At 43.0% G+C, this 24,791-nt stretch overlaps 1 protein-coding gene across 4 annotated transcripts in view, besides 2 other annotated features; it reads right to left on the minus strand.

Annotated features, from left to right (window-relative positions):
• Window positions 1–21,636, minus strand: part of CLPX (caseinolytic mitochondrial matrix peptidase chaperone subunit X) — a 37,124-nt gene extending 15,488 nt beyond the window's left edge. For all 4 annotated transcript variants that reach the window (NR_133680.2, XR_931743.4, XM_011521164.4 and 1 more), the window contains exons 1-5: window positions 21,369–21,636; window positions 16,338–16,498; window positions 15,228–15,345; window positions 2,925–3,079; window positions 323–482 (exon numbers count right to left, since the gene is read on the minus strand). Coding sequence is in view for 2 of the 4 variants with exons in the window: in XM_011521164.4 (XP_011519466.1) it covers window positions 323–482; window positions 2,925–3,079; window positions 15,228–15,345; window positions 16,338–16,498; window positions 21,369–21,447 (673 nt within the window). In the remaining 2 variants the exon portion in view is untranslated. The remainder of the gene's footprint in view (window positions 1–322; window positions 483–2,924; window positions 3,080–15,227; window positions 15,346–16,337; window positions 16,499–21,368) is intronic.
• Window positions 21,269–22,153: an enhancer, noted in NCBI's record as "NANOG-H3K27ac hESC enhancer chr15:65477313-65478197 (GRCh37/hg19 assembly coordinates)". NCBI's record gives its function as "activates a minimal SCP1, AML or CMV promoter by ChIP-STARR-seq in primed H9 embryonic stem cells {active_cell/tissue: H9 hESC(primed)}" and the evidence as "EXISTENCE:reporter gene assay evidence [ECO:0000049][PMID:30033119]".
• Window positions 21,575–21,884: a silencer, noted in NCBI's record as "silent region_6553". NCBI's record gives its function as "represses an Ori minimal core promoter by ATAC-STARR-seq in GM12878 lymphoblastoid cells {active_cell/tissue: GM12878}" and the evidence as "EXISTENCE:reporter gene assay evidence [ECO:0000049][PMID:35858748]".

Below are 24,791 nucleotides of genomic sequence, written 5' to 3' on the forward strand. Positions count from 1 at the left end.
GAACTCCTGACCTCAAGTGATCCCCCCGCCTCGGCCTCCAAACGTGCTGGGATTACCGGCATAAGCCACCATGCCAGGCCTAAGAAATAATATTTACCTTAACTGTAAGTTAATGTATTCTGTTATTTTCTATTCATATCTATCAAATTTTTAAAAAATGCTGTTGGCAAATGATTTCATAACACACTAATGGGGAATAACCTGCACTTTGAAAAATGCCACACTATATAAAAAACATTTTAAGAAGAAAGTGAGGAGTTACAAATAAAGATTACTTTTAAGCATAGCAATCTCTATTTAGGTCAATTATCAAAAACGCTACCTCTTGGTGTTAATGATGTCTGCTTCTCAACCTCTGCTTGCTGTCTCAGATTAGCTGGGATATTATTATATATTCTCTTATAATGATTGTACACAGCAACTGAAAGCACCTTCTTAGCAAATGACTGGCCAACAACATACTTGTCGAGGTAGTTATAAATCTGAAAAATGATTAGGTATGAATAATTTAATATGAGCTATTATAAGAGCACACACATTAAAAAGTTATTTACTAAGCATATTTGCTTACAGTTTTAAATCTGAACAAAGACTCTCATTAAAAACAAAATGACAATACATTATATAGCAATGATTCAGAGGCCCTGAACACTAAATGAACAAAAACACAATTCATTTGTTCTCTAGCTTAACAAAGTATCACTGTACTCTACTAGTGTTGTGCTAATTTCTATTCTATAAACAATGCTATCAATCTTTATTTTTTGATAACAAATTAAATTTAAAGTAACTTAGAATACATACACATGCCACCATGGTCTAAAAGTATCAACATTAATGTAAATCATTAAAATAAATCCATACCTGTCAATCAAATGAATAACATTCTTCACAAAGATAACATTATAAAACTACTCTTTTCAGAAACAGGCATTACATAATCAAAAGCCATTATACTATCAGTATCTATGTGTTTTAGTAAATTTAATTTTTTCTCAGACATTAACTTTAAAGCTACTCATTTATCTGAGACTCTAAAAACTGTATTCTTATTTTTTTTTATTTTCTAAAAATATATTTTTTTCTTTTTTTGATACAGGGTCTCACTGTGTCGCCAAGGCTGGTCTTGAACTCCTGGGGCTCAAGCAATCTTCCTGCCTTGGCTTCCCAAAGTGCTGGGATTACAGGCATGAGCCACCAAGCTCAGCCCTAAAAACTTTATTCTTAATAGTAGCTAAAGCTCTATTCTACAGTTGGTTATTGCCAACAGCTTGGAACCTGGGGTAAATTTTTTAAGTTTTTAGTGAATAGAAATGAAATGGTTGGTGAATTAATATTAACCAACTCCTGCCGGGCTTGGTGGCTCACGGCTGTAATCCCTGCACTTTGGGAGGCTGAGGCGGATGGATCACTTGAGCCCAGGAGGTGCAGACCAGCCTGGACAACATGGCAAAACCCTGTCTCTACAGAAATTAGCTGGGCATAGTGGTAGACACCTGCAGTCCCAGCTACTGTGGAGGCTGAAGTGGGAGGATCACTTGAGCCCAGGGAGGTTAAGGCTGCAGTGAACCATGAGTGTGCCACTGCACTCCAGCCTGGGCAACAGAGTGAAACCCTGATTAAAAAATAAATAATTCAAAAACTCCTGAAATTAGTTAAACTGCCTGGATTTTTTTTTTTTTTTTTTTTTTTTTTGAGACGGAGTCTCGCTCTTTCACCCAGGCTGGAGTGCAGTGGCGTGATCTTGGCTCACTGCAAGCTCCGCCTCCCGGGTTCACGCCATTCTCCTGCCTCAGCCTCCCGAGTAGCCAGGACTAAAGGCACCCGCCACCACGCCGGGCTAATTTTTTGTATTTTTTTAGTAGAGACGGGGTTTCACCATGTTAGCCAGGATGGTCTCGATCTCCTGACCTCATGATCCGCCCGCCTCGGCCTCCCAAAGTGCTGGGATTACAGGAGTGAACCAAACCACCGCACCCGGCCAAACTGCCTGGAATTTTAACTCACATGTCTAAAGTCTACACAAATTCGTATAGAATATAAAGCCCAATATATTTTCCATTTTTAATGACAAATTCTTTAGTTGTTGACCATATACATTTTATTATAGTTTTAAACATCTTTATTCCTTACAAATTATACCAATGACATTAAATCTGTCACAGCACATTTGGAAGTAGAGACAAATGCACTGATATCTAAACACAGTAGAAGAAAGATACACTGAGGCAGTGAGAAATAATCTAAGTGTGCAAACATCTGAGACACAGCCAGAACAGAAGGCACATAGCCAGGGTACAAGGGTTCCCAGTTCTCAAAAAGCACACACCAAATACCCAATGGAGCTGGTGGTACATTCTGTTACATCTCACAGGACCAAATCATACTCTGCCTGAGACTTCTAAAGAGTCCACACTACCAAAGCCACAGTGCTATACGGAGCAGCCCGGCACACTGGCTATGAAAAAACTACTTACTTACATTATTAGACTGAAGGCTGTTTTACCATAAAATAGACCAATTTAAGGGAGATAATTGCAGGCTTTTTTTTTTAAGGCTAGTCAAGTGGACCAGCCTAGGCTGGTGTTATTTAAGGGTCCATATGAACAAAAATAAATCAGAAGTTGCTTGCTCTATTGTAGATATTATTTCAGATTAACTTGGTATTAACAAGTTAACATTTTAATAATTATCTAGCTATATTTCACTGCCACTGAATACAGTAATCATAACATGGGAAAAAGCAACAGACCCCATATTTAAATTCCAAAAGGCAATAACAATTTAGCCACATATGGTCCATATTATGAACCTATAATACTTGTTTATATACTAGTATTAGGATTCAGTGTAAACTTGGGAGAGGGAAGCAATGGAATGTTTTCAAGATAAAATACTTGTAAGACTGAGCTTAAGACTTATACCTTCTTAGGGGGAGGTGGTGGTTTCTGTTGGAATGCCAATTTTACAGCTTCTGCTGCTGATTCAGGTTCTTTAATTATGCTTTTCTTTGAGTCTGCTTCAGATAGCACAACAAAAAAATGATGACACTTTTCACACTTGACAAAACGGGTGGATGCTGTAAAAGAAAACAGACATAAGTAGAGGGAAATAAAAAATAATTCCAATAGTGTTTAACCTTAAAGACTCCACTGTAAATGAAAGCTACGCACCTGACAAAAAGTAGACTTGCTGTTCAATCTACTTGCCACACAAACAGCCTCATTTATATAGCAAGTATACTACAAAGATAGATCAGTCAACTACCTTTTGCTCATTTCTATTAGGTCCTTTCATTTTGTGATATACTTCTTTAAAAGAAAAGATTGCGTGAAATTTTTCCAACTTTCCATTCACTAAAAAAGATTTTTTTTTTTCTTTGGGAGACGGAGTCTCGCTCTGTTGCCAGGCTGGAGTGCAGTGGTGTGATCTCGGCTCACTGCAACCTCTGCCTCCTGGGTTCAAGCAATTCTCCTGCCTCAGTCTCCTGAGTAGCTGGGATTACAGGGGTGCACCACCATGCCCAGCTAATTTTTGTATTTTTAGAAGAGACAGGATTTCACTATATTGGGCAGGATGGTCTTGATCTCTTCACCTTGTTATCTGCCCGTCTCCGCCTCCCAAAGTGCTGGGATTTACAGGCGTGAGCCACCGCACCCGGCCCACTAAAAAAGATTTAAAACCTCTTTGAGAATATGGAGTAATCATCTATTTTATTGAAATACTTGAATGAACAAACTAAAAAAGTAAAATACAAGATTCATATATTTTTCCAATATTATAAAAAATGTCAAACATATACAAAAGTTGAAAGAGATAAATCTATTTTAATTCCTAAAAATGTAAAAAATGTATATTCTTTACATTCTCTTAAACCCATGAGCATTTTTCGGGCGTGTTGGCTCATGCCTGTAATCCCAGCACTTTGGGAGACTGAGGCAGGTGGATCACCTGAGGTCAGGAGTTAGAAACCAGCCTGGCCAACATGATGAAACCCCGTCTCTACTAAAAAAAAAAAAAAAAATACAAAAATTAGCTGGGCGTGGTGGCAGACACCTGTAATCCCAGCTACTCGGGAGGCTGAGGCAGGAGAATCGCTTGAACCCAGGAGGTGGAGGTTGCAGTGAGCTGAGATTGCGCCATTGCACTCCAGCCTGGGAGATAGAGCAAGACTCCATCTCAGAAAAAAATATATATATAATTATTTCATATCTTTCTTATTTTATCTTTACTCCACTAGTTCCTATTTCTCTGATCAAAAAACCACTAAGAAACTAACAAAATACTGCTTTCTCAGTCATACTGATTGGATTTAAAGATAATCATGCAGACTTTGAAAGCAATACAAAGGTAGTTTAAAGTGAGGATAAAAAGAGTCTCTTTTTTCTTTTAAAAATTTTTGGCCAGGCATGGTGGCTCAGGCCTGTAATCCCAGCACTTTGGGAGGCCGAGGGGGACAGATCACGAGGTCAGGAGATCGAGACCTGGCTAACACGGTAAAACCCTGTCTCTACTAAAAATAGAAAAATTAGCTGGGTGTGGTGGTGGGCGCCTGTAGTCCCAGCTGCTCGGGAGGCTGAGGCAGGAGAATGGTATGAACCCGGGAGGTGGAGCTTGCAGTGAGATGAGATTGCACCACTGCACTCCAGCCTGGGCGACAAAGTGAGACTCTGTCTCAAAAAAAAAAAAAAAAAAAAAAAAAAATTTGTGGATACACAGTGATGAGTTCATGTCCTTTGTAGGGACATGGATGAAGCTAGAAACCATCATTCTGAGCAAACTATCGCAAGGACAGAAAACCAAACACCGCATGTTCTCACTCATAGATGGGAACTGAACAATGAGAACACTTGGACACAGGGTGGGGAACATCACACACCGGGGCCTGTCATGGGGTGGGGGGAGGGGGGAGGGATAGCATTAGGAGATATACCTAATGTAAATGATGAGTTAACGGGTGCAGCACACCAACATGGCACATGTATACCTATGTAACAAACCTGCACGTTGTACATGTGTACCCTAGAACTTAAAGTATAATTAAAAAAAAAACTTTGCGGATACACAGTGGATGAATACATTTATAAGGATTTCTCAATTCCAATGGATCAGCTACAGTATATCCTATGTTAAAGGTGATTTATTTTTCTTTTCTCTTTTTTTTTTTTGAGACAGGGTATCGCTCTGTTGCCCAGGCTGAAGTGCAGTGGCGTGATCACTACTCACTGCAGTCTTGACCTCCTAAGCTCAAGCAATCCTCCCACCTCAGCCTCCCTGAGTATCCAGGACTACAGGCACACGCCACCACGCCTGCCTACTTTTTTTTTTTTTTTTTGAGATGGAGTCTTGCTCTGTCGCCCAGGCTGGAGTGCAGTGGTACAATCTCGCCTCACTGCAAGCTCCACCTCCCAGGTTCACGCCATTCTCCTGCCTTAGCCTCCCGAGTAGCTGGGACTACAGGCGCCTCTCGATCTCCTGACCTCGTGATCTGCCCGCCTCGGCCTCCCAAAGTGCTGGGATTACAGGCATGAGCCACTGCGCCCGGCCGATGCCTGCCTACTTTTAAAAATCTTCTGTAGAGACAGGGTCTCATGATGTTGCCCAGGCGGGTCTCAAACTCCTGGACTCGAGTAACCCTCCCACCTTGGCCTCCGAAAGTGCTTGGGATTACAGGCGTGACCCACTGAGGCCAGCCTACTCTTTCTTTTCAAAACATGGTTATAGGATGTTGGCGGGGCACAGTGGCTCACACCTGTAAACCCAGCACTTTGGAAGGCCAAGACGGGTGGATCACTTGAGCTTAGGAGTTCAAGACCAGCCTGGCCAACATGGTGAAACCCTGTCTCTACTAAAAATACAAAAACTAGCCGGGCATGGTAACTACCTGTAAACCCAGCTACTCAGCAGGCTGAGGCAGGAGAACTGCTTGAACCTGGGAGGCAGAGGTTGCAGTGAGCCGAGATGGTGCCCATCGTGCCCTCTTATTATAAACAAAACAAATAAACATAAAACAACACATGGTTATAGGATGTAGATATATGGATATATTTACTTTTTTTTTTTTTTGAGACAGAGTTTCGCTCTTGTTGCCCAGACTAGTGTGCAATGGTGCAATCTCGGCTTACTGCAACCTTCGCCTCGCCTCCAGGGTTCAAGCAATTCTCTTGCCTCAGCCTCCGAAGTAGCTGGGATTACAGGCATGTGTCACCACGCCCGGCTAATTTTGTATTTTTTAGTAGAGATGGGGTTTGACCATGTTGGTCAGGCTGGTCTCAAATTCCTGACCTCAGGTGATCCGCCTGCCTCAGCCTCCCAAAGTGCTGGGATTACAGGCATGAGCCACCGCACCCAGCGACTTTTTTTTTAAGAGCTGCTGTCTTGCTATGTTGTCCAGGCTAGCCTCAAATTTCTGTTCTCAAGGGATCCTCCCACCTCCCAAGTAGCTGGGTTTGGACATACATGCTTAACTCAGCCTAACCCTACTAATGGTAACCGGGGACCTCAGAAAGCAATTTGGTAGAGAATCTCTTATAGGTACAGGTGGCAAATACAAAGCTAGTATGTCTAAGTAATACATTTTTGTGTAACCCAACTAGAAAGAGAGAACTGCAGAGAAAAAAAAAAATTCATGGAATTTTTTTTCCTTTGGGAAAATTTTAAATATAAATATCTATCCACAGATTATAGGGAACACTGCACTAGCAAGCACACCTACGTCTTTACAAACTAATCTAAATGAAAAAAGTAGACAATTCCATATTAAAAAAACAACTTTAGGCTGAGCGGGGTGGCTCAGGCCTGTAATCCCAGCACTTTGGGAGGCCGAGGCGGGTGGATCACCTGAGGTCAGGAGTTTGAGACCACCCTGGCCAACATGGCGAAACCCTGTCTTTACTAAAAATACAAAAATTAGCCAGGTGTGGTGGCGGGTGCCTGTAATCCCAGCTACCTGAGAGGCTGAGGCAGGAGAATCCCTTGATGGTTACCTGGGAGGCGGAGGTTGCAGTGAGCCAAGACCACGTCACTATACTCCAGCCTAGGCAACAGAACTCTGTCTCAAAAACAAACAAAACCACTTCATTATCAATTCAATCAATTCTTGTGTTTCTGTTCTTCTTTTTTTTTTTTTTTTTTGAGACGGAGTCTCATTCTGTCACCCAGACTGGAGTGCAGTGGCACGATCTGGGCTCACTGCAACCTCCGCCTCCTGGGTCCAAGCAATTCTCCTGCCTCAGCCTCTGGAGTAGCTGGGACTACAGGTGCATGCCACCACACCCAGCTCATTTTTGTACTTTTAGTAGAGATGGGGTTTCACCATGTTGGCCAGGATGGTCTCGATCTTCTGACCTCATGAAACACCCACCTCAGCCTCCCAAAGTGCTGGGATTACAGGCATGAGCCACTGCGCCCAGCCATGTTTCTGTTCTTAAACACAAGACTAATTAAAAACACATTCTGGGCCGGCCAAGGTGGCTAACGCCTGTAATCCTAGCACTCTGGGAGGCTGAGGCAGGTGGATCACTTAAGGTCAGGAGTTCAAGACCAGCCTAGCCAACATAGTGAAACCCTGTCATTACTAAAAATATACAAATTATCCGGGCGTGTTGTCTTGTGCCTGTAATCCTAGCAACTGGGGAGGCTGAGGCACGAGAATTGCTTGAACCTGGAAAGCAGAGGTTGTAGTGAGCTGGGATCACACCACTGCACTTCAGCCTGGGCAATAGAGCGAGACTCAGTCTCAAAAAAAAAAAAAACATTTCGGATAAATTCTATTAGCAAATTTTAAGGAATAAGCGGTTTCATCCATGTTTCCTATTTGCTGATCACGTATAAATGCTTAAAGAAAAAGATCAAGCTATTTGAAGCATCTGTGACTAACACAAGCCTAAGTAAATAATCACCACTTCCCATCAATGGGAAAGATAGTTACTGCCTTTATAATGATGAGGCACTAGTTTACAATTGTTACTGATGGTAAACAGGGCAAGGATTAAAGGGCAGAGAAGCCGCTGATCTAGTTCAGGCAGTGTGACAGGAAAATCTGGCCTGAGAGCACAAGTACAAAATATTTCTCTAAGGAAATTAGATCAAAAGGAAAATGATTAAACACCAACAAATCACATCCCTCTTTGCTTATTGTTGAAAGGTTGCTTAAATTTGACTTGAATATTTGCAACACAATTTTACACTGACATATTTTCAACATATCCCTAAATTCAAGGATTCAATGTTATTTATCAAAATGCTATTTTGGGAAAAAAAAATACAAGCATTGCAATGCACTTTTTTGTTTTGTTTTGTTTTTTGAGACAGAGTTTCACTCTTGTTGCCCAGGCTGGAGTGCAATGGCGCGATCTCAGCTCACCGCAACCTCCGCCTCCCGAGTAGCTGGGATTACAAGCATGCGCCACCACACCCAGCTAATTTTGTATTTTTAGTAGAGATGGGGTTTCTCCATGTTGGTCAGGCTGGTCTCAAACTCCCAACCTCAGGTGATCCACCCGCCTTGGCCTTCCAAACGGCTGGCATTACAGGCATGAACCACCATGCCTGGCCAATGCATTTTTACTCCAAAAACAAGGGGCAAAAATCTAATTTTGTTAAGTTACCAGGAGATAAATTCTTTCCTTTAAACAGCTACTACAAGTATCCTATATTTCTTTACATAAAATGTTGTTGGTTTGGGAGGCTGAGGTGGGCGGATCACAAGGTCAGGAGTTCAAGACCAGCTTGGCCAAGATGGTGAAACCCCCATCTCTACTAAAAATACAAAAAAATTAGCCGGGCATGTTGGCAGGCGCCTGTAATCCCAGCTACTCAGGAGCCTGAGGCTGAGAACTGCTTGAATCCGAGAGGTGGAGGTTGCAGTGAGCCTCGATCACACCACTGCACTCCAGTCTGGGCAATAAGAGCGAAACTCCGTCTGGGGGGAAAGAAAAAGAAAGACAAAGGATTTAAATTGACACTTCTCCAAAGAAGACAGACAAATGGCCAATAAACCTAAGAAAAGATTAACATCATTAGTCATTAGGGAAATGCAAATCAAAACCACAGTGAGTCCCAGGAGGTAGCACAAAAATCCCAGCACTTTGGGAAGCCAAGGCAGGAGGATCACTTGAGCCCAAGAGTTCGGGACCAGCCTGGGCAACATAAATGAGACCCTGTCTCTAGGGTGGCATTTGCCTGTAGTCTCAGCTATTCAGGATGCTGAGGTGGGAGGACAACTTGAACCCAGGAAGGTGAGGCTACTGTCAGCTATGATTGCGCCACTGCATCGTAGCCTGGGCGACAGAGCAAGACCCTGTTTCTAAAAACAAAATAAAACCAAAAGAAGCCCATGATGAGATACCACTTCATATCCACTATGAATAAAGAAAGACAGGCTGGGCGCAGTGGCTCATGCCTGTAATCCCAGCATTCTGGGAGCCCGAGGCAGGAGGATCACCTGAGGTCAGGAGTTCGAGATCAGCCTGACCAACATAGTGAAATCTTGTCTCTACTAAAAATACAAAAATCAGCTGGGTGTGGTGGTGGGCACCTATAATCCCAGCTACTTGGGAGGCTGAGACAGAATTGCTTGAATCTGGGAGGTGGAGGTTGCAGTGAGCCGAGATAGTGCCACCGCACTCCAACCTGGTGACAGAGTGAGACTCTGTCTCAAAAAAAAAAAAAAAAAAAAAAGAAGACAGACAGACAAGTGGTAAAAAGGATGTGGAGAAACTGGAACCCTCATATTGCTGGTCAGATTGTAAAATGGTACAGCTGCTATGGAAAACAGTTTAGCAATTCTGTAGAAACTAAACAGAGTTACCACATGACCCAGCAATTCCACTCCTAAACATATACCCAAGAGAGTTAGAAACATATGTCCACACAAAAACTTGTACACAGATGTTCACGGGAGCATTATTCAGAACAGCCAACAAGTAGAAACAATGTAAATGTCCACCACCTGATGAATGTCTAAACAATGAAATATTATTCAGCCATAAAAAGCAATGAAATACTGATATATGCTGCAAACTGGATAAACTTTAAAAACATGCTAAAGAAAATAAGGCTGGTATGAAATGCCACATATCGTATAATTCCATTGTATGAGATACCCAGAATAGACAAACCCATTGATAGAGAAAGTAGTTAATAGTTAACAGGGCTAGGAGGGGAGGAGGGTGGAGAGTGACTAAGGGCTATGGAGTTTCTTTCTGGGGTGATGAAAAATGTTCTGGAATTAGATAGTGGAGATGATCATTCAACTTGGTAAATATCTTTTTTTTCTTTTGAGATGAGACAAAGTCTCGCTCTGTCGCCCAGGCTGGAGTGCAGTGGTGCGATCTGGCTCACTGTAGCCTCTGCCTCCTGGGTTCAAGAGATTCTCCTGCTTCAGCCTCCTGAGTAGTTGGGACTACAGGCGTGCCCCACCACACAGGCGAATTTTTTGTATTTTTATTAGAGACGGGGTTTCACCGTGTTAGCCAGGATGGTCTCGATCTCCTGACCTCGTGATCCACCCACCTTGGCCTCCCAAAGTGCTGGGATTACAGGCGTGAGCCACCATGCCTGGCCTCTTTTTTTTGAGATGGAGTCTCGCTCTGTCACCCAGGCTGGAGTGCAGTGGTGTGATCTCGGCTCACTGCAACCTCCGCCTCCCGGGTTCAAGCAATTCTCCTGTCTCAGCCTCCCAAGTAGCTGGGATTACAGGTACGTGCCACCAAGCCTGGCTAATTTTTGTGTTTTTAGTAGAGATGGGGTTTCACCATGTTGGTCAGGCTGGTCTCAAACTCCTGACCTCATGATCTGCCCACCTCGGCCTCCCAAAGTGCTGGGATTACAGGCATAAGCCACCATGCCGGGCCACAACTTGGTAAATATTTTAAAACCACTGAAGATGAATTGCATGGTATATGAATGATGATATCTCAAATAAATTTTTAAAAGGAAAGGATTAGGCCCACATGTACAGCTGTCCCTTGGCACACATAGGAGACTAGTTCTAGGACCACCCACATATAACCAAATCCATGCATACTCAAGTCCTGCAGTCGGCCCTGTGGAGACCACACATATGAAAAGTTAGCTCCTCATATATGCTGGCCATTATGTGTTTGGTTGAATAAAAGCTAGGTATAAGTAGGCCTGAGCAATTCAAACCCACTGTTCGGGAGTCAACTGCATTAACATACACAGCTCTCAAAACGCTGCGTACTGAAAACAAGCAATTTGCAAAAATATGAATATGCTATTTATACTTTAAAAAAAATCACACGTTCAATGAAGATATGTTATAGAACTTTATAGCTTCATCTATCAGGGTCTATTCTTTTCTCATAAAGGAGGATCTACATATGCATTCTTCAAGTAATTAAAAATAATTAAAATTACAAAAAAGTAGACAATTACTTAAACAGGCCATTCACAAAAGAATTACAACTGACCAAAAAGCATATAAAAAGATGTTTACAAACTAGTATCCAAATAAATGCAGACTTAAAATGCAGGCCAGGCATGGTGGCTCACACCTGTAATGCCAGCACTTTGGGAGGCCAAGGCAGGTGAATCACCTGAGGTCAGGAATTCGAGACCAGCCTGGCCAACAAGGTGAAACCCCGTCTCTACTAAAAATACAAAAATTAGCCTGGCATGGTGGTGGGCACCTGTAATCCCAGCTACTTGGGAGGCTGCGGCTGAGGCACCTGAGGCTGGCACTTGAATCCAGGTGGCAGAAGTTGCAGTGAGCCAAGATCGCGCCACTGCACTCCAGCCTGGGTGAGAACAGTGAAACTCTGCCTCAGAAAAACAATAGAAACAAAAAACAAACAAAAAAACAGGCTGAGTTATCCCTTAACCAAAATGCACGGGACCAGAAGTGTTTCAGAGTTCAAATGTTTTCACGTTTTGGAATATTCACAGAAATACACTGGTTAAGCACCCCTACATGAAATCTGAAATCTGAAATGCTCCAATGGAGCATTTCCTTTAAGCGTCATGACGCACTCAAAAGGATTTCAGAGCATTTTGAATTCCAGATTTTCAGACTACGGATGCTCAACCTGTTAGTAACCTGAGATCAAATAAAACTCTCTTTAGGACTATGAAGACCCAACTTTTAATGATCAGACACAGAAGGATTCAAAAGGATGCATTCTGAAAAGACTTTTATTATGGGTACACAAAACTAAGGGAGGAGGGGCTCACTGCACTGCTAGGGCCTACAAATAGTTAGAGGACAGGGACAGTGTCATGATCATCTGCATATTTTCTGAGCCTAGTGATGTCTGAATCAACACATTTGCTATTAATTTTGCACATAAGTGTGTGCTCTTTTTTTCATTCTTTCCTTCTACATTTTCTACTCCCATATCACCACCCACAATTAGAATTCTCAAAGCAAACAGGCCTCAGCCTTGAATTGATTACACTAAAGTAGTGTTTCCACACTTGGTCTAACTAATAATATACATATACTACTAACATACAAATTCTAGGACTCCATCCCACATCTACAGAATCTTAATCTCTAGGGAAGGAGTTTGGGAATCTCTAAGTTTAACAGTCACCTTCAGTGACTAATACAACCTGGCAAGTTTTGGAAAGAATGCATAGAAGGAAAATAAATTTAATCCCAAGAGGAGCTAGTTTACTCCTAAAGTATCTCCAGATGGTAGAAATGTATGATATAGGAATTTCTGAATAGCAAATCTTCACTGCTATGTGACCTTGAATGAGTTACTTAAACTTGCTAAATCTCAGTTTATTTATAAAAAGGAGAATACTCTTTGTTCTGGCAAAATTAAGGGTGCAAGAATAAAACTATATATGTTGGCATTTATTAAATATTAGTTTCTTTCCTTTTCTACTCTAAGAAATTATTCTTTTTTCTTTTTTTTCTTTCTTTTTTTTTTTTTGGAGACGGAGTTTCACTCTTGTTTCCCAGGCTAGAGTGCAGTGGTGTGATCTCGGCTCACTGCAGCCTCCGCTTCCTAGGTTCAAGCAATTCTCCTGCCTCGGCTTCCTGAGTAGTTGGGATTACAGGTGCCCGCCACCACGCCCAGCTAATTTTGTATTTTTAGTAGAGACGGGGTTTCACCACGTTGGCCAGGCTGGTCTTGAACGCCTCACCTCTGGTGATCTGCCTACCTCAGCCTCCCATAGTGCTGGGATTACAGGTGTAAGCCACCGCGCCTGGCAACAAATTATTCTTTAGGTCTATAAAGGTTGAAATGTTTCTTTGAAGAAAAAAAAAGGAGGAAAATTTCTTGATTAAAATATAAGACACTGACCTTATAAATTGAACAATTTTCAGCCTCTGTATAATTTTATTATATCACATCAAATTTGTTTAGAAGGTTTTATCATCCAGTTCTACCTTTTTTTTTTGAGATGGAGTTTCACTCTGTCGCCCAGGCTGGAGAAGTGCAGTGGTGTGATTTTGGCTCACCATGACCTCCACCTCCCAGGTTCAAGAGATTCTCCTGTCTCAGCCTCCCGAACAGCTGGGACTTCAGATGCACGCCACCACGCCCGGCTAATTTTTGTATTTTTAGTAGAGATGGGGTTTCACCATATTGAGCAGGCTGGTCTCAAGCTCCTGACCTCAAGTGATCAGCCCGCCTCGGCCTCCCAAAGTCCTGTGATTACTGGTGTGAGCCACAGCGCCTGGCCCACTTTCATTTTATGTTGTGATCCAAATTAAATTTTGTTCAGAACCCCTAATATTCCAGCTATGGGATGGAGCTACTTTAAGTCTTTCCAGTACATAAAAACACACTACATCTAGTACCTTTTCATATGGTGGCCAATTATGGTTAATGGTAAGTGTGAAATTGTAACCAAAGTCTCAATATTAGGGTTAGGAGATAGAGAATACTCTCTAGCCAACCATCAGACACTGAAGTCTTACAATCTTGAAGCTTTCTTCAATTGGATTGTATAGGAAGGCTGACATGGTGGTACAATTCATTACCATTAACTCTAAATTATGTTAAGTAATGAGTTTTTTGATTATTTGATTCATTAATGAAAATATCTGTAGTAGAATCTTTGCATTTCAGAGAGTTACTGACACTAACAGCAAAAGTAGGATACATGATTTTTTTCCTTCTTTTTTTCTTTTTTTGAGACAGGTTCTTGCTTTGTCGCCGAGGCTGGAATTCAATGGCTGGCTCGCTGCTGCCTCACCTCCCAGGCTCAAGCGATCCTCCTACCTCAGCCCCTAAGTAGCTGGAACTATAGCCATGCACCACCATGCCTAGCTAATTTTATTTTTTTATACATATGGGGTTTTGCCATGTTGCTCAGGCTGGTTTTGAACTTCTGGGCTCAAGCACTCTGCCTACCTCAGCCTCTGAAAGTGCTGGGATTACAGGTGTGAGTCACTGTGCCCAGCCCTGATTTCTTCCTTCTCTGAGTGTCTGAATCATTAATAATTATCAGATGCTTCCCGGAATTGAGGGCTTACCTCCTTTGGTAAGTACTAAGGGAAATTACCTTAATATATGAATGACTGGCCTTCCCAGCCATGTGAGATATTCAATATGTATTTGAAGAAAGTAGTAATAAATACAGAATAAATAAGTCTTGGTTCTCCTATAGCCTAATGATCACATCCAGAAATTCACAAAATCTAATTTGAAATAAACACAAGTAAGCAAAATAAAGAAGCAAATGTTTTTCTTAAATTATCTCTTACACAACAGTGCAAAGTATTACCAGTCCTGAAGATTTTCTAGTATATAGTGAACATAAGAGAGAATCAGGTAAGCTCATACAATTTACATATAATTTATATAACATACAAAGTCACATACATTTATCTATTTCATATAATCCATATTTCTACACATTTAATACAATTTATATATATATATTTCTTTTTTTTGAGACAGGGTCTCTGTCACCCAGGATGGGGTACAGTGGCATGACCATGGCTCACTGCAGCCTCAACCTTCTTAAAAGAAGTAGCTAAGACCACAGGTATGCACCACCATACCTGGCTTTTTTTTTTTTTTTGGAAAGACAGGTGTCTCAACATGTTGCCCAGGCAGGTCTTGAACTCCTAGGCTCAAGGGATTCTCCCATCTCCTCCTTCCAAAGTGCTAGGATTATAGGCATAAGCCGTTTGCACCTGGCCTATATTTATACATTTTACATAATTTACATATTTTTATACACTTAGTAATTTACAGAAAATGTAGGGAAAAAAGAACAGTAGAAGATGTAATACTTACATACAAAGGTCTCTACATGTGTGCACAAGTCGCCACATTTAGGACAGCGCAGCTGGTTTCCACCTTTCCCAGAATTCCCAGAGCCTGATTTCTTACTACTTCCCTCACTTGCTGATTTCTAACGTTTATGAAGGAGAAAAAAGGAAGAGTGTCAATTATTAGTTTCAGGCAACCAACTTAAATGTAAACAATACTGTTTGTAATTAATTTTATAATCTTCTATATTTCTAGGATGAAATTATTAGTATATTTTATAATTCTATTACTGGTGTCAGAAGATCTATTTACTTCAAAAATCAAATCAGTTCTAGTAAATACATATATATCTGCAGTCCTCCTTTGTATAACATGTGCCAACATATATAATAAACAGCTTTCATTCAATGACTCAGGCACTAGAAAATTTACTAAGGGTAAAAAACTACATTTCAATGAAATTGAATCAGGAGTTATTATCATGGTAGGTAGTGACTCTGACTATTCTTAGATCTAACTTTTCTCATCTCTAAAATGGGAATAATTTTACTCACATCAGAGTCACTGTTAAGTATGGATATGTAAGTGTCTCACATTTTGTCTAACATATAAAATTAACTCAAGTGTTAGTCAAATTCACGTAATGAAAAAAACTGTTAAGTCACTGACTCAATACAACTACCAACATAAGTTATACTAGCTACAACATAAAGTTATACCAGAAATATGAAATTTTTAGGCTACCAGAGTAGCCCAACATTAAGTTATACCACAAATCTGAAATTTTTAGGTAGAGGATAAAGTGAGGTTTATACTGCCATGGGTTATAAGAGTTATATGAAAGCAGGAAATGATGGCTATTCCTAATTCAATCCTACTGACTGTCATTTAATGACACTTCTTTACTACTTTGGGGTGTAAGAAATTTTAATTACTGCTTACTATGTGCAATGCTTATAAAAGTATTTTAAGGTTCAAAATGAAACATCTAATTACATAAAATTATTCAGATCATTTTAGCTATCTCATATTTCCTACAGAAAACATATAAGCCAGTAAGAGACAGTACTGTTATATTTTTTTAAAGGAGGGAACTCACAATGTGTACAGATGCCAATAAGATAAAATAATTACCTTATTTCCATCTCCAGAACCATCTTTACTTATCCCATCTTTTGAGGCAAAGTATGCTGGTGTTTCTGTAAAGGATCTAAGAGGAGCTCTTTGCAGAATCTGAGTTTCAAATGTCCCAAGCCTTCCTAAAACTGACATATGAATGCGACCACCAGAAATACCTGAAAATAAAAGGAAATCTACATCAAATATAGACATGCCTCAATAAATCCCCTGGAAACAAAAATTCCTTGAGCATAAAGGAGGTTGAAAAAAAGCTATCATTTTCACAGTAGTATAAACTGAGAGAAAAAAAATGACACCAACGGAGGCAAAGTCCTTTCAAAAACAGGCCAGCAGGTCTGGGCCTCTGAAAGATTCTAAATAAATAAAGGTGTTTCTTTCTGTATGTGTCCTTTGGAAATAAGGCAAGATCACCCACGTCATAACTTTTTCAAAGTTTGAATGGACTTCAACATCTGCCTCACCTGTAAGATTTTGAAAAAGGCCATTTATGCCCTATATTCTTATTATTTCTACCAATGAGAATAAACATCTGACAGCAACTCATCTGTTATTATATAAGAATACTATCTGGGCCGGGTGTGGTGGCTCACCCCTGTAATCCTAGCATTTTGGGAGGCCTAGGCGGGTGGATCACTAGAGGTCAGGAGTTCAAAACCAGCCTGGCCAACATGGTGAAACCCCGTCTCTACTAAAAATAAAAAAAAATTGGCCACGCATGGTGGTGGGCGCCTTTAATCCCAGCTACTCGGGAGGCTGAGGCAGGAAAATCGCTTGAACCCGGGAGGCGAAGTTTGCAGCGAACTGAAGTCGTGCCACCGCACTCCAGCCTGGGTGACATAGCGAGACTCCATCTCAAAAAAAAAAAAAAAAATCTGTAACAATGGAAACAAACTTCAAATGTTCTTTAAGGTCAGGCGCGGTGGCTCATGCCTGTAATCCCAGGGTTCGAGACCAGCCTGGCCAACGTGGTGAAACCCTGTCTCTACTAAAAATACAAAAATTAGCTGGGTGTGCTAGCAGGCGTCTGTAATCCCAGCTACTCAGGAGGCTGAGGCAGGCGAATTGCTTGAACCCAGGAGGCAGAGGTTGCAGTGAGCCAAGATCATGCCACTGCACTCCAGCCTGGGCAACAGAGGGAGACTCTGTCTCAAAAAAAAAAAAAGTTCTTTAAAAAATTGTGTTATTCCACTTACACGTGGTACTTAGAAGGCAAAATCATAGAGTCAGTGAGTAGAATGGCGGTTCCTGGGGGTTGGGGAAAATGGAGAGTTATTGTTGTAATGGGTACAGAGCTTCAGTTTCACAAGATGATGGCAATGGTTGCACAGTATCAATGTACTTAATACTACCGAACTATACACTAAAAATAGTTAAGTCTTGTAAATTTTATATGTATCTTACCACAATAAAAAAATTGAAGGAGCCAGGTGTGATGGCTCACGCCTGTAATCCCAGCACTTTGGGAGGTTGAGGTGGGTGGATCACTTGAGGTTAGGAGTTTAAGACCAGCCTGGCCAACATGGTGAAACCCTGTCTCTACTAAAGATACAAAAAGTAGCCAGGCGTGGTGACAGGTGCCTGTAATCCCAGCTACTTGGGAAGCTGAGGCAGGGGAATCACTTGAACGAGGCAGAGGTTGCAGTGAGCCGAGATTGCGCCACTGTACTCCAGCCTGTGCAACGGAGCGAGGCTCTGTCGCAAAATAAATAAATAAATAAATAAATAAATAAATAAATAAATAAATAAAGATAGTATCAATCCCAAAAGTAGGCTTAGAAAAAGTAATTGAGGGGGCCAGGTGCAGTGACTCATGCCAGTAATCCCAGCACTTTGGGAGGCCCAGGGGGGCAGATCATAAGGTCAGGAGATCGAGACCATCCTGGCTAATACGGTGCAACCCCATCTCTACTAAAAATACAAAAAATTAGCTGGGCATGGTGACACGCGCCTGTAGTCTCAGCTACCCGGGATGCTGAGGCAGAAGAATCGCTTGAACCCAGGAAGCAGAGGTTGCAGTGAACCGAGATGGCACCACTGCACTCCAGCTTAAGCAACAGAGTCTCCGTCTCAAAAAAAAAAAAAAAGAAAGAAAGAAAGAAAAAGAAAAAGTAATTGAGGGAGAGTGACAGATGCAATCAATCAAAATGACCATTCACCAATCATAAAATCCTCATAAAAATGATAAAGCTCTGTAGCAAAGTAATTGGGATTTCTAACACTTTTTGTGCCATGAACCCCTTAAGCAGTCTGGTGAAGCCTCTGAATAGATCTTCTCAGAATAATATTTTTAAATGTATAAAATAAAATACATAACAAAGGAAACAAATTATAATGAAGTAGTTATCAAAAAATTTTTAAAATATGCCTCTTTATTAACAAGCAAAATTAAATAAGATCTAACAGCTTTTTAAATAATTACTATGATTTCAAAGTAGCAAAAAGTATGGACAATATTCTGAAATATCAGCAACTATAATGTGATATGAAAATATTTCTGATTTTGATTGATGACAAATCCACAGACACTTCTAAGACTACTGTGGATGTGTTGCCCACATTCATAGGCCAAGGAAACGTTGTGTTTCAGTTAGAGCTTAGTGAAAATAAAGTTCACAGAATCTCTGAATTCTATTCAAGGACCCTTTGGAGGCCTGTAAACCCCAGGTGAAGCTCTGAAAGCCAAAAAAGAGAAGTGTTTCTGTAAAGTATATTTCACCAGATTACCTGGCAGCAACCAGAAAAGACAATTTAAGTTTCACTATTTACAGAACTTTATCATACAGACAAAGCTTTCTAAATTTCAGAACAACTGTTTTTAAAAAGAAATACTAGTCCGGGTGCGGTGGCTCAAGCCTGTAATCCTAGCACTTTGGGAGGCCAAGGCGGGTGATCTCCTGGGGTCCAGGAGTTGGAGTCCAGCCTGACGAACATGGCAAAATCCCGTCTCTACTAAAAATATAAAAATTAGTGGGGCGTGGTGGCGCGCGCCTGTAACCCCAGCTTACTCAGGAGGCTGAGGCAGAAGAATTGCTTGAACCCAGGAGACGGAGGTTGCAGTGAGCCGAGATCGCGCTACTGCACTCCAGCCCGGGCAACTTAGCAGATTCCATCAAGACAGACACACAAAAAGAGGCCAGGCGCGGTGGCTCACGCCTGTAATCCCAGCACTTTGGGAGGCCGAGGCGGACGGATCACAAGATCAGGAGATCGAGACCATCCTGGCTAACACGGTGAAACCCCGTCTCTACTAAAAATACAAAAATTAGCCAGGCGTGGTGGCGGGCGCCTGCAGTCCCAGCTACTCGGGAGGCTGAGGCAGGAGAATGGCGTGAACCCAGGAGGCGGAGTTTGCAGTAAACTGAGATCTGGCCACTGCACTCCAGCCTGAGCGACAGAGCGAGACTCTGTCTCAAAAAAAAAAAAAAAAAAAAAAGAAAGAAAATAAGACAGACAGAAAGACAGATAGTAGATGGAAAGAAAGACAGAAAGGAAAGAAAGACAGGAAGGAAGGAAAGGAAGGAAGGAAGGAAGGAGAAAAGAAAAGAAAAAGAAAGAAAACAGTCGTTTTGAAAAGAAAAAAAAATAACTGCCTATCTCCTATGATTCAAAAATGTTCACGGACTCTTGGCTACAAGAGATCAGTAACACTTTCAAAGAAGCCGTCCCTGACCAAAGGGAACACACACATACTTCATCCACCCACTGGAAACTGTATTATTCTTTGTCTACTCCACTAGATTTAAACATGAGGGTGAGGACTTATTCACCACTCTACCTCCAGCACTAAAAGAAGGCCTGACACACAGTGGACCCTTGACAAATATTAATATATATCAGATAAATGGATTAAAATATGTCACTTTAAAGTGTTTGCAAATCGAATTCCTGGAATCGGGACATCTACTGGTTGAGGCTTAACATCGATTTAGGATTAAATTTACTCCCTTACATTTATATATCATTTTACAAAATGCTTCTGCCCACGTTACCTCATTCAATCCTTCCTTCTGTAGTAAAGAAACTGGAAGATATATTTAGTAAACAATAAGGATTTTATAATTGGCTTAGAAGTTAGATAAAAGGGGCCTTTTTAAAAATCCATCCAAGGGTCATAAACCGATAAGCCAAAATAAAACGAATTTGTCTAGAAGTCAGTCATTATAACAGGATCTAGCCTCGTGGTCTGACTTCCACAGATTTGAGGAAGAGAAAAAAAGTTTATTTTCCAGACTCTCTTGGCTGGGGCGCCATTCTTTCACAGCTTCAGATAAACAGAAAGAAAAGGTAAACAACATGCGCCACTCTTAGGAAACTACCTCCCGGTCAAGTTGGGAAAGCCAGCAAAGGACTGCTGAAACACCCAAGTACTTCCGAACCAACTCCTGCGGGACTTCTCCCCATCTCTCCCGCCGCTGTCCTGCGGGCCCCGGGGCTTGCCTGACGCCGGGAAGTATTGTGAACCTTGTTTATGTCCCAGTGTCAGGGCCGCACAGTGATAGTAACATCTCGGGTATCGCGCGGCTTGCGTCCGGGACGGCCAGCTGGGTGCCCCGAGTCCTGGGGGACCCTAGTAGGGACAGATCCTCAGCCGAGCCCCTCCTGGAGCCCCCAACGGGCCCGAGGGGGATCCCGGCCAGGCTGCGGAAGAAGAGCCGCAGCCATGGCAGGCGGCGGTCCCCGGCAGGGCTGAGTGGGATCTGGAGACATTTTTTAATAACAGGAGCATTTTGTGCCTTTCAGGGTTTCTACAAAGTGGCCGCATTCCGGCCCCAAAGTCAGCAGGCCTGAAAGCGTGCAGGCAGGCGCGTGGGAAGGAGTTTACTTCCAATTTGAGCAACGGCTGCTCCAGAGGTTGGCAGAGCCCCATTCCACGGGGAAAGTGGTGGGTGCCGGGCGAAGCGCCGCGCATTCCCTCACACTCCCCGGGTGCAGCAGGCCTCGTGCCCTCCCCGGGGCCCCCAACCATTGGCCAGTCCACCCCCCCCCCGACAGGCTGAGGGCTCAGGAGTGGCACTATTTCGTTACCTCTCTGCGCGGAGGCGAGTGAGGAGGTGATGAGCCGGACGGCCGCCGCGCCGCAAGTACAAGCACCGCAGCTGGGCATCTCCGCGAGGCCTAGGCCGGGGCTTCGCCCCCTGAGGACCTCCGGGTCACAGCGGCGTGAATCCTGCCCGCAAGGCGCGCTGACTCGGTTCCGAACCCTTTCGCGGGCCCTAGACCCCGTGGAGAGTTCACCTGCCCGGCAGCCAGGCCTTCACGCTTCTCTGCCCCACAGCCGTCTATTCACCAGAGTAGACACCCAACCCCCCCCTCCCTTCCCCTCCTTCTCCTTCTACCCCCACCCCCAGCCTACTGGGCCCGGGGAGCTTGCGCGCGCCTGCGCCCTAGGCCCGGGGAGGGGGCGGAGGGCGTGGGCACGCGCCGTGTTTGCGAGCTGGTGAAGCTACGTGAGGCGAAGGCGAGGGGGTGGTGCCCTGGGCGCCAATGAGTTCCCTACGGCAAGCGTCTAGCCCCAACTGGGGCGACTACAGGTCCCGACGCTCAAGGTTGCCAAAAGCCCTTTTATCCTAAAGTTGAAAGGTTTTGCGATAGACGCGGAGAGATGCATGCCGGGACTTGTAGTCCCGAGTCGTCATAGTCGAGCTCTTCCGGTCACTTTTAGTGGGCGGCAGGGAAGGTCAAGGTGAGGCTGGTGGCTTAACCCTCCAGGGGGAAGTCTCTAAAGTGCCTTGGTAGGCGCTGGATGCTTCAGATTCACTAAATTTCTTCCCCCGGAATTCCACATCCTGTGTTCCTTATCTTCTCATTCTCCTTAGTTTCATCACTTGTAACATGGAGTTGGTATTGTCAGTTAGTTCCCTGAGCAGCAATTGTTAGTTGGTAACAGCTCCGTCTCCTTGTTCTTTCAGGCCTCGTGGTGATAAAGCTTCTAGCTGTTGCTAGTCCGTGGGTGCTTTAAAGTCTTGAGGGTTTTCTTTTCTTTCTTTCTTTTTTTTAATTTAGTAAAGATGAGGTCTCCCTATGTTGCCCAGGCTGGTCTCAAACTCCTGGGCTCAAGTGATCCTCTCGCCTCGCCCTCCCAAAGTGCTGGGATTACAGGCGTGAGCCACCGCACCCGGCCGTGATTAAGGATGGCACTGCATAGATAACCTCTGGTCAGGTTCCTATCAGGCCATCCTCTCAAGTTATGAATTCAAAAGCACAGAGCCGGCTGGGCGTGGTGGCTCACACCTGTAATCCCAGCACTTTGGGAGGCCGAGGCAGGTGGATCACGAGGTCAGGAGTTTGCGACCAGCCTGACCCACATGGTGAAACCCCATCTCTACTAAAAATACAAAAATTAGGTAGGTGTGGTGGCGTACTCCTGTAATCCCAGCTACTCAGGAGGCTGAGGTGGGAGAATTGCTTGAACCCAGGAGGCGAAGGTTGCAGTGAGCCGATATCGTGCCATTGCACTCCAGCCTGGGCGACAGAGCGAGACTCCGTCTCAAAAAAAAAAAAAAAAAACCCAGAGCCATCTGAGATTATCCCTGTGAGAAAATGGATCCTTCACCAGGAAAGTGATGGCAAATACTTGTGGTCACATCAGCCCTTCCACATCACACCTACTTTCAGCTGTTTTCTGACAGATTAATGACGCTTTAAAAAGAAAGTCAAGTGCAGTTTTCCAGCTCAAATAGTTTACACTGGAGGAGTTAACTCCTTGAGTTATTTACTTTTTGCGAACTACATAGCTGAAGGCACATAACTTTTTTTTTGAGACAGAGTCTCCATCTGTCACCCAGGCTGAAGTGCAGTGGCACCATCTCAGCTCACTGCAACCTCTGCCTCCTGGGTTCAAGTGATTCTCCTGCCTCAGCCTCCTGAGTAGCTGGGATTACAGGCATGCGTCACCATGCCCGGTTAATTTTTGTATTTTTAGTAGAGGCAGAGTTTCACTATGTTGGCCGTGTTAGTTTCAAACCCCTGACCTCAAGTGATCCGCCTGCCTCAGCCTCCCAAAGTGCTGGGATTACAGGCATGAGCCATTGCACCCAGTCAGGCACATAACTTTTTATGTCTTCATTTTATGTAAAACTTTTTCTTTTGTCTTTTTTTTTTTTTTTTTTTTGAGATGGAGTCTCACTCTGTGGCCAGGCTGGAGCGCAGTGGTGCGATCCTGGCTCACTGTAACCTCTGGCTCCTCGGTTCAAGCGATTCTCCTACCTCAGCCTCCTGAGTAGCTGGGACTACAGGCGCACACCACCACGCCCAGCTAGTTTTTGTATTTTTAGTAGAGACGGGGTTTCACCATGTTGGCCAGGATGGTTTTGATCTATTGACCTCATGATCCGCCTGCCTTGGCCTCCCAAAGTGTTGGGATTACAGGTGTGAGCCACCATGCAGGCCCTCTTTTTCTTTTATACTTGATTTTACCTCCCAGCATTATGAGTTGCTATAAGAAATATTTTAATAAATTAGAGTCCATGAGTCTTAACTCACTCAATATTAACCCTGATTTTTTTAGATGAGGAAACAGGCCTATTGAAAAGGCAGATACTTGACCAGGGTCACATAACAAGTGAAAAACAGAGAATAGAGCTGGAGTCTTCTGGCTTTAAAACTGTATTTCTCAAGCTTTTCTTTTTTAACCCAAGACTCTTTTCGATAAACATAAAAATCTCACTTCTCGGCCAGGCGCAGTTTCTCACGCCTGTAATCCCAGCACTTTGGGAGGCCAAGGCAGGTGGATCACCTGAGGTCAGGAGTTCCAGACTGGCCTGGCCAACATGGTGAAACCCCGTCTCTACTAAAAATACAAAAATTAGCCGGGTGTGGTGGCGCACGCCTGTGATCCCAGCTACTCGGGAGGCTAAGGCAGGAGAATCGCTTGAACCTGGGAGGCAGAGGTTGCAGTGAGCTGAGATCGTGACAATGCACTCCAGCCTGGGTGACAAAGCAAGTCTCCATCTCAACAACAACAACAAAAAATCTCGCTTCTCCTCTCCTCCACCAGAAATTCTGGCACATCTTCTCAGAGAGTCATCATTCTTTTGGGAATCTTTGTATCCTCTGAATAAAGACTTTTTTTTTCATGGCCAAACCCTGCTCCTTCATATCAGCAGACATTGATTATCCCTGGAAGGATATAAATATAAATATTGAGGAACTCAGTATTTTAAAAGATAAGGACCTGCATCTGTAGGTGGTGCGAACTCAAGATAATATTAACACATCGTATTGAACTTTATAACTTACAAAGGGTTTTCACATCCACTTTCTCATTTGATTATTACAACAACCAAATGATATATTGTTATTATCAGCATTCCAGTTTTGAAGCTGAGAAAATCAAGACACAGAGAGTTTAAGTGACTTGCCCAAGGTCACAGCAGAACCCAGACTTAAATCCAAATCACCATATGGGTTTCCATTACTTCTCTATATCTTATTCCAAAAGCTGATGAG

The sequence above is a fragment of the Homo sapiens genome, chromosome 15 (assembly GCF_000001405.40).
Source record: "Homo sapiens chromosome 15, GRCh38.p14 Primary Assembly".
Lineage (NCBI taxonomy): Eukaryota > Metazoa > Chordata > Mammalia > Primates > Hominidae > Homo > Homo sapiens.